Raw genomic sequence first — 9,777 nt, 5'->3', positions numbered from 1 at the left:
TCTGTAGTCATCACTGTCACTTCCTTTTAGTGCTTTCATTCTCTCTTTGCTCTTGGAACAGTCCCAGCAAAGACAAAGGCAACTTCTTTTACAAACAGCATCAATATCATGCCCTTTTGATCCAACACAACAAAACAGGAGGTAGCTATTACTCTGGAGCTACTGTTTCCAATATTAGTGTGCTTGTCAGCAGCATTTCCCTTTCAGTGACTCTGGAAAACCCTAGTTGTACCATTAACTTTACTAGGCCAATGGTTATGTTCTTTGAACAACAATCCTCATTTTCTGCTGTGTCCCTAAGAGAAGGGAGACATGAAAGAAAATATTGTTTTGCCCCAGGTGGAATCAAAGTTAAATTATAATCTCTGTGGCTCCTTTCCTCAGATAGAAAAGAATGATGATGAAATTAGGGTAAGGGTGAAAGTATTCATTAAACTAAGAATAAAATAGAAACCAAATGGATTGATTTCAGTTTCACTTCCTTTCTGTGACTCTACCCACTCCATGTAGAAGGACTAATAACTTAATGAAATGAAAAGACACTGCACCATCCTCATAGACGTGTGAAATAAAGATTATGTATATGTGCATATGTGGGTGGGAGTATGTTTCTGAAGCTTGATCAATCAGAAGAAACATGAAGAATACTTTTTATGTACAATTGTAACGATGATATGCAAATAGAGATGTCTTTCATTCTCCTTCTAGATTTCCTTTTGACCTTTCAGGAAACCTTAGACAAATTGGTTCTTGAGGTTCTACTCTAAGTGTCCATAATATTATTTTAGGTCTCCTGCCAAGTGTGCTAAGTGTTTCATGGCTTCTTAAATATCAGGAGTTGTACCAGGACAACAAAGAGCTACCAAAGAACATGAGAGTAAATATGGCAGAAGGTACTTCTCTTAATACATTTCAGGCTGAAATATACAGAGGACAATAACCTTGAGAGCAGTAACCACATCTACTCATATTTAAATAGTTCAGAGCCTAGACACAAATCATTTCTTCAATACTGTTTTCCAGAATGTGTGCTTATTTAATTCAAAAAGATTTTTATCTCCACCACAAAAAAGAACAGAGAATTTTAAATGCCTTTAGAGCAAAGTCACAGGTCCTACAGACTCTGGAGGGTTTTGCTTTTAAAATCTACAGTTCTGCCAAATGAGTCTATTGGTGATTCAGAGCAGGGATACGAATCATCAGATATGCCAGAAATAATATTTAAACCGTATGCAGTTATTTAAAGGATCTTCAAATTGTGCAGCTGTAAAATCTGGACTGTGCTCTTTAAGAACTGTGAGAGTCTGGGTATTAGAAAGCTATTTGGAGTTATCACTAAGGATAAGGTGCAAGCCTTCTTTCTACAAATCACTCACAAGCAAGCAATTGGTGCAGAACTTGTTGAAATTATCTTTTAGAAACAATTAAACAAAGAATCACATTAATAGAGGCTTCCTTTCAAATGAAAGACATCCTTTTCTCTGCTGCCACTATTGATCCTAGGAAACTAGAAAAGACTTAAACATTAACTTAAGCCTTATTTCAGGTTATATATGATGGTTTAATTTTTTAAAATGCTGAAGAGGTCAGGGGACATTCTATCATGATACATAATCACACCTTGATATAGCCCATTCCTTTCAGAGAATAAGCCCCTTCCTTCTGAAATGGTATATGTATTAGGCCAATCTTGCATTACTATAAAGAAACATCTGAGGCTGGGTAATTTATACAGAAAAGTTTAATTGGCTCACTCACTATCATGAAGACAGCACCAAAACATGAGGAATCCGCCCCCATAATCCAAGCATCTCCCACCAGACCCCACTTCCAGCACTGGGGATTACATTTCGACATGAGATTTGGGCAGGGATAAATAGCCAAACTGTATCAGTCTGCCAGAGATCCTCCTTATTCCTACTCATTCCTATGAGTAGGGCTGTCTGTGAAGGGCAGATAATACTATCAGTTTATTCCATCATTCATTTCCTTGTATGCCTTAAATATTTGTTGAAAGTCTGTCAGAAGTAAGGCACTGTTCTCAGCACTTATATTATAGTTGTGTCTAAAACAAAAAATGTTTTTGCCCTTAAAAAACTACCATTTGATCAGAAGTGATAAGCATCAATCCACATTTGAGTCAATTAAATCTTTAATTTTAGGCAGATGAGTTCCATAAAGATAAAATGAGAGCTAAAACCCAAAGTACTGACCTAGTTTGGCTTTTCTGATGAAATAATGTTATGCCTGAGATCTGAGGTATGATCAGAATTTGGAATTTATTTCTGCTCTTGGTCTGAGATAAAACAAAGGGTAACTTGTTCTGGTTGCCTTTTCTAAGATTTGAATTTTCAAATTAGGAAAAAAAATGTTCCATAATTCTTCCTAATACTTTCTTCTGTGGTTTTAACTGGGAATCCCCTTTTTTTATTTCTTTTTTCCATAATGGTGAGAAGATAGGAAGGCAGTGGAAGGAAGGTAGGGAGAGAATGATTTCAATCCCTTTTTTTTAAATCTATAAACTAATAACTACATCTTAATATAGCTAAACATAGAAAATATGATAGTTTGAGCAGGCAGGCCAGAATAGCTGTTCAAAAGCTGACAGGTTCCCCAGGGAGTTGGTATGTAATAGCATGACAGTAATTACAACTAGAACTAATCTAGGCTGTAGACATGTCTAGGCCTATCTGTGACCTGGGTATGCACCTCCAGAGCAGAAGAACATAAGAAGGAGTTCTGGGTTTCACATGACACAGTTTCTGGAGAGGACCAGAAATAACCAAGTGAGATGTAGGGGAAGGGCTTAACATCCTCGTACAGCAGGTAGAAACAACAACAATAAATTTTGGGATATTGGCATTAAAAGGCCTATGTGCACCCTTAGGCAGGGACAAGGGTTCAGGCTCTGGAATGAAACCGCTTAGGCTCATGTTTTTTTTACTTGCCTGGTGACCTAGGGCAAGTTCTTTCACTTCTGCAACCCTAAATGTACTCATTTATCAACTGGGGATAGTAATAGTGAGTCAAGGGGTTGATGCAGGGATTAGTGAAATTAAACATATTGAAAGTCTAAAGCACTACCTGGAATTTGAATTCTGTTTATTGTTACTAATATTTTTATTATTGGAAGTTTAGTCAGGATTTTTTTAGATCGCTTTAAAAAAAAGAAAAAAGAAAAAGAAAAAGAAGAAGAAAACCTCCAAGGCTTGTGTCCAGTCTCTCCCCCTGCCTTACTTTAACTCTGGCAAAACCACCAGAGTTTGGGTCTGAATTGCAAATATGATTATGTCACTTTGCTATTCAAAAATCATCAGGGTTCCCCCATCACTTTTTGTTTGTATGGTATAAGCGGTCCTCTTAAATGCCTATGTGAATTTTCCTACCTATCACTCTCTCACGCAATCTATATTCCAGCCATGTCAGAAAAATTTACAGTTTCCCAGAAAAACACTGTATTTCAAGCATCCATTTCATTACTCTTGCCTGCAAAGTTCTTTTTTACTCCATTCCCCCAAAGCCTTGGAGCCCAATTGACAAATTTCTACTTCTCTGTCAAAGGTTTGTTCAACCACCAAATCTTCTGTGTAGCCATCTCCAATATTTCTAAACCTAGTTAATTACTTCCTCCTTGACATTTTTAAACTACTAGCACCTACTTCAATAGTGTTTTAGCCTCTTCTGCATGTGTCCGCCACCTCCACTAGAGTGTGAGATTCTGGAATAGAGAGGACCTAGCATTAGCGCTTAATATATATTCTTTAAAACAAATGCTGTGGTTCTTTAGTGATCCTTTGATGTCATTTTATTTGAAATTGCTATGCAAGACCTACAACCACAGCTACCTTCAGGACTATGAAATTGTCTTGTTTGAACTAGTTCTAAGCTTAAAGACTGTCACTTTTCTTATTCAGTAATTGTAGACCTTTTCCCTAATTTTAAGGAGTTATGGATTCCAACAATTTACAAAGCCAGGGCAGGCAAAGGAAAACAGATGTCTCACTTTCAAGAATTAGATCCTAGTACAAATACAGAGTCTGTGCTTTATGAACTGCAAAGCATTACAAAAACCAGTATTATTTCTCTATCATCATCTCACAGCAGCAGATAAGAATCTTAGGCAAGCAAAGGGCTAGCACTAGCGAACTGGGGGACTAGCCCTGGGGTTGAAAAGCCAGAGGCAGACCCCCAGACGTCCATATGCTAGGTGTGGCCAACTCCAAGGATTCCCAAATGAAGTGAAACTCTCCACACTTCCAGTTTGGTGCAATCAAGTCCCCATTTCTTCCTTCAGCAAACATTTATTGGGCACCTCCTCTGTTCTGGGCCCTGTTACAAGGCACTGCAGATACTACAGTAAACAAAACAGACTTATCTCTCTACTATTATAAAGCTTACACTCATAATTTTATATAACAAGAAAGCATTATGACATTTTCCTGTAAGCCAGTTTATTTACTTACAGCCCAAAACAGGCCATTCTATTGAATAAATGATCTTTCTTACCTCTACAGCCATCTAGTTATAACACAATAGGATAATAAAAAGCCAGTTCTCAAGAAGTTGTCACTCTCTTGGGAAGTGAAGTATGCCAAAAAGGCTTGGAAGAAATCCCAGAACCACCAGCATTCTTCTGCACATTAATGAGGTTTTACTTCACCCTTTCCCTCATCTCTTAATGATTTTACTTATATGCAATCTTGAAATAAGACATTCATCACAATGCTAGTCATCTGCTCCAGTTAAAAAGGGGTTATTATTTTTAAAAAGTTAAAATTTTAACTGGCCATTAATAATGGTATAATTCTTTTAAAGGACATTTGTTTGTAAATATTTTCTATCCTTCATAGTGAACATGTTACAAGTAATAGTTTGAGATTATATTTGCTTTTTAAAAAAAATTACAGCTGCTTTAAATTTCCTAATATATAAATGATACTTTAACATTGAAGTTGGTTTTTTTAAGGTACAATTAATTTTGAACTTATATTTTTCTTAGTTGGTTATAAAAAAATTATCTATGCCATGAAAACAGGAACTTTATAAAAAAAACTTTACAATGGAGATTAACAGTGAATTGATGGGGAAATGAATTACAGTTGTATGGAAACATAAAAATACTCAATACTATTTACTGTTACAAGAATAAAGTGCACAATATTATTGCGATCTAAGAACCCAGTGCTGAAATTTATTTTGAGTACAACTCATTATCTTTTCCATAGAGTTTAATGTAGGAATATATAAGAACTCAAGGCCGGGCGCAGTGGCTCCCACCTGTAATCCCAGCACTTTGGGAAGCCAAGGCGGGTGGATCACAAGGTCAGGAGATCGAGACCATCCTGGCTAACATGGTGAAACCCCATCTCTACTAAAAATACAAAAAATTAGCCGGGCGTGGTGACGGGCGCCTGTAATCCCAGCTACTCGGGAGGCTGAGGCAGGAGAATGGCATGAACCCAGGAGGCGGAGCTTGCAGTGAGCCGAGATCGCGCCACTGCACTCCAGCCTGGGCGACAGAGAGAGACTCCGTCTCAAAAAACAAACAAACAAACAAACAAACAAAAAAACTCTAGTGTTACTGCAACAGTTTGATGTTTTATAATGGCAACAGTCACATAATGTCATCACAAAAATGGTAACACCCTTAGATCAAATAATTTTTCACATTCAGGAAAACCAATAGAGCAATTTATCAGGCATGTGAAAGAAACACTTACCTTTGTCCTTATATGAGAACTATTTGGTTTTACCCTAATTTAATTACTATGCTTCCTAAGGGTAGTAGAGAAGTTCTGAAAAAGTAAAAGGAAATTAAAAGGGCAATAGAGCAATTGGGTGGCATAGTCCCCTAAAGAACCTTTATCCTTGGAAGACAAACAAAGCCAGTTAAATATTTCGGTAGATCCGTTTAGACTTCAAAATAAAGAAAAGGCAAAAATCCAAATGGAATGGATTACCAAAAATCGTAGCATTTTTAAAACACATTACTTTTAATGTTATTTTAAGCCAAACAAATTCAATAGATTTAAGCTGAAGGGATGTTATCATATGATTTGCTTCCCTCAGTTATGTAAGTGTTTTTTCATCAATATTCTGTCTGCAACAATTATCTAAAACAATTATGAGTAGTTTTTAAATTACTAGTTGCATTTCTACAACAAATCATAACTTTTTGAACATCTAATTATCTATTTTCAATAAGTTTCTGTAGACTCAAAACTTTTGTTTCAGATAAACTTAAGATTTAACCATCTAAGAACAGGAATCCTGATTAATCTGTATTTTCAAGGGAATATATTAATACATCATATTAGTACTTTATTGCTTTTAAAGCTGTAAAATCATAAAGATTTTACAAATAAAAATGAAGACATACAGGTTTATGTAAGTTTGTATATACATATATCCTACTTTAAAACATTATAACATGTTGATTTCAAAATAACAATTCTAAAACTGCCTAACTCAATGATTTTTTTTAACCTTGAGATTTGCTTGTAAATCTCAGATAAATCTCAGGGTAAATTTCAGATACTATTTGAAAGTCAAAAATAATAATAGAGATTCTTAAATAGACTAATGTTAATAAGTATATTACAAGTATACCTTTAGAAATAAAGATATAAATAACACTAAGAGAAAACGTGAAACTAGAAAAATTTATATTTTGGGGTTTTGTGCATTTAATCTGTCAAAACTATCATGTGTAGCAACAGTTCATGTTTCTTCTACATTTTTATTTATTCCTTATGTTTATTACTGACTGCTTGTACTATTATGATCAGATTTGTATCAAGTTTACCAGAAATATGAAAAGGTATGTTATTATGCATATAATTAATCCTTGAGTTTATTTAATGTTGCTTTTAATTTACATCTCATAAATTTTCTCATCTCATAAAGTTCCAAGTTATGTTAATATTTTATGTACAATTTAGCTTTATTGTGACAGGAAATGTTGATAAATTACCAGTTATGAGAAAAAAAAAATCTATGAGGAAAAGTATAAAACTAAAATACCAGATCAGAAAAGAGTGATATTTAAAGGTTATAGTTTCCAAATTTAGCAAATAAAAATATAGGATCCCCAGTTAAATCTGAAGTTCAGATAAAAATGAATAAATTTTAGCATACATGTATCCCATGCAACATTTGGGATGTACTTACAACAAAAAAATTAGCTATTGCTTATCCAAAAGTTAAATATAACTCAGTGTCTTGTATTTTATCTGGCAAGCCTAATAAAAGTGAATTTTTACTTATTAATATATCATTTATCACAGTTTCATCTGTTACTTATCAAAGGATTTCTATGCAACAAAGTCAGTTTTACACATTTAATAGCTATGACTTCTGCTAGTCTCAGGGAATACCGTCTCTTCCAAATTTACTCAACATGGTGTTTTTCCTTTATTTAGGGATGAACCTAAATAAAGAAGGGACCAGTTGTCAGCTTCTACACTTCCAGCACTGAAGCAAGGAGCAAAGGTAGGATTTATTAGCTAACATGTATTAAGGGCTTCCATATGAGCCAAGCAGTATGCTGAGTTCTGTACATTCATTATCTTCTTTAACCCTCACAACAGCCTTCTGAGGTGAGTGCTATTATTATCACCATTTTACAGATGAGGAAACTGAGGTAGGAAATGTCAAATTACTTGATCAAGGTTTGAATGGGAGTCAGTGGGAAGGCTGACCTGAAACTCAAAGCTTTCTGACTTTGTCAGTCTGCTTTTCCTCCCAGTTAGGACAGAAGCAGTTGTATTTGCCCCATCCTTCTTGAGAGAACCCTTTACCCCGCCTGCACCACTCTCATTCTCTTAAAAATATGAAATATTAAATATAAGGATTGCCACATCCCATGCAACCCCAGTCAGGTGCCTCACAACTCTACAACCTGAGGCCATATGAAGGCAACCCAGGTATTTCTGGGCACAGAGAGAAGTGAACCAAAGGACTGCCCATTTGGTTTACTGTCCATAAAATTACTGAGTAAAATGTTAAACATTTTCTTCTCTTCAAAATAATGATCAACTCGATCTTTCAGAAAAAATTTTCAAAGCTTTGAAAAGGTTTTTTTTGAACTCTTCACTTATTTTTATTTATAATGGCATATAATAACTGTACATATTTATTGGGTATAATGTTTCAATACATGTATCTATAGTATAATGGTCAAATTGGAGTAATTATAGCTATCACTTTAACTACTTAGCATTTCTTTGTGGTGGCAACATTCAAAATCTTCTCTTCTAGCTGTCTTGAAATATACAATACATTGGCATTTGCTGTAGTCACTCTACTGTGAAACAGAACACCAAAACTGAAAAGTTATATTTTAAAATAATCCTTTTCTACACTTCAAGTCTACATTCTTTAAAAATAATAACAGATCTGAATTCTACTCATTCAACCATTAATTAAGAATAACTATAACTTTATAACTTTTTAAAATAAGATTTGTACAGAAGTTTTGTTTCCTTGTTTGTTTGCTTGGAAAGGTTTTTGGTTGATACTTACGTAAGTGACAGGCTCTGCTTACATGCATGACCAACATTATCTTAGTCTAATCCCACAACAACCTCATCTGGTAGGTATATTTTCCAGATAAGGAAACTAAGGAACAGAGATGTTACATAACTTGCCCAGTCACACAGCTAGTAAGCTGAGAAACCAAGATTCAGGCCAGGCAGTTTGTTTCCAGTTTTCCCTTTTTTTTTTTTTTTTTGAAACAGAGTCTTGCTCTGTCGCCCAGCCTGGAGTGCAATGGTGCGATAGGGGCTCACTGCAACCTCTGCCTCCCGGGTTTAAGTGATTCTCCTGCCTCAGCCTCCAGAGTAGCTGGGATTACAGGCACCCACCACCATGCCCAGCTAATTTTTGTATTTTTAGTGGAGACGGGGGTTCACCATGTTGATCAGGCTGCTCTTGAACTCCTGACCTCAAGCAGTCCACCCACCTCAGACTCCCAAAGTGCTGGGATTACAGGCATGAGCCACTGCGCCCAGCCCAGTTTTCCATTCTTAATCAGTAGGCTCTTGTTTGAGAATATTTTATTCTTAATGATGGTATTACTCATTTTTGTACTTTATACAATGGAGTACTTCGTGTTTGGAATGGCTTCCTTGTCCATATCTTTGTAAGGTTGAGGCCAATTTTTCTGAAGGTCTAAAGATCAGGCCCAAAAGAGAGACCACATAATCACTTTGCGTTCCTTCCTCAGTAATCTCCACAACTCATTTTGTGTCAGAAATTCACCACTGCACAATAACAGGCCAACAGTGGCCAGAGTTGGCTCCCATGCTGTAAGGTTGGAGGAAGGACACACCAGGCTTCCTAAGTACTTCACACAAGGCTGCCAAAGGATTAGCTGGATGTTCCTGTGCCAGGTTCACTTAACAGGAACATGGCAAGTTGTGGAGACTAATTGGTTCTCACAGGTATTTGGGGTAATGTAAAAATACAACTGCAGGAAAGGCAATTTCCCCCTAGAATGTGACTTGCTCCTGTAAATACAATATATTTTACAGGTTTTAATGCATGTGAAATATTTATCATTGGCATGAAAATTTAAAATATATACCATTTTCCCTTTCATGCCAAAGGGCTTCTATACCCATCACAATTAAAATTAAATATGGAGTAATAGCATAGCTTTTTACTCTGATTCCCTTTTCCCCATTTTGTAAATTCACAGCTTTAACCCATGGCCACCTGCCTGAACGATGGCTTATTTCCAACTCAAGATCTCTTTCTACATACTTTATGAACATA

General features: G+C 35.8%; 1 annotated feature.

Annotated features, from left to right (window-relative positions):
- Positions 2,854-2,943: an enhancer, noted in NCBI's record as "active region_21818". NCBI's record gives its function as "activates an Ori minimal core promoter by ATAC-STARR-seq in GM12878 lymphoblastoid cells {active_cell/tissue: GM12878}" and the evidence as "EXISTENCE:reporter gene assay evidence [ECO:0000049][PMID:35858748]".

The sequence above is a fragment of the Homo sapiens genome, chromosome 4, assembly GCF_000001405.40.
Source record: "Homo sapiens chromosome 4, GRCh38.p14 Primary Assembly".
Classification (NCBI taxonomy): domain Eukaryota; kingdom Metazoa; phylum Chordata; class Mammalia; order Primates; family Hominidae; genus Homo; species Homo sapiens.
This window is presented reverse-complemented; position numbering and strand designations above follow the sequence as displayed.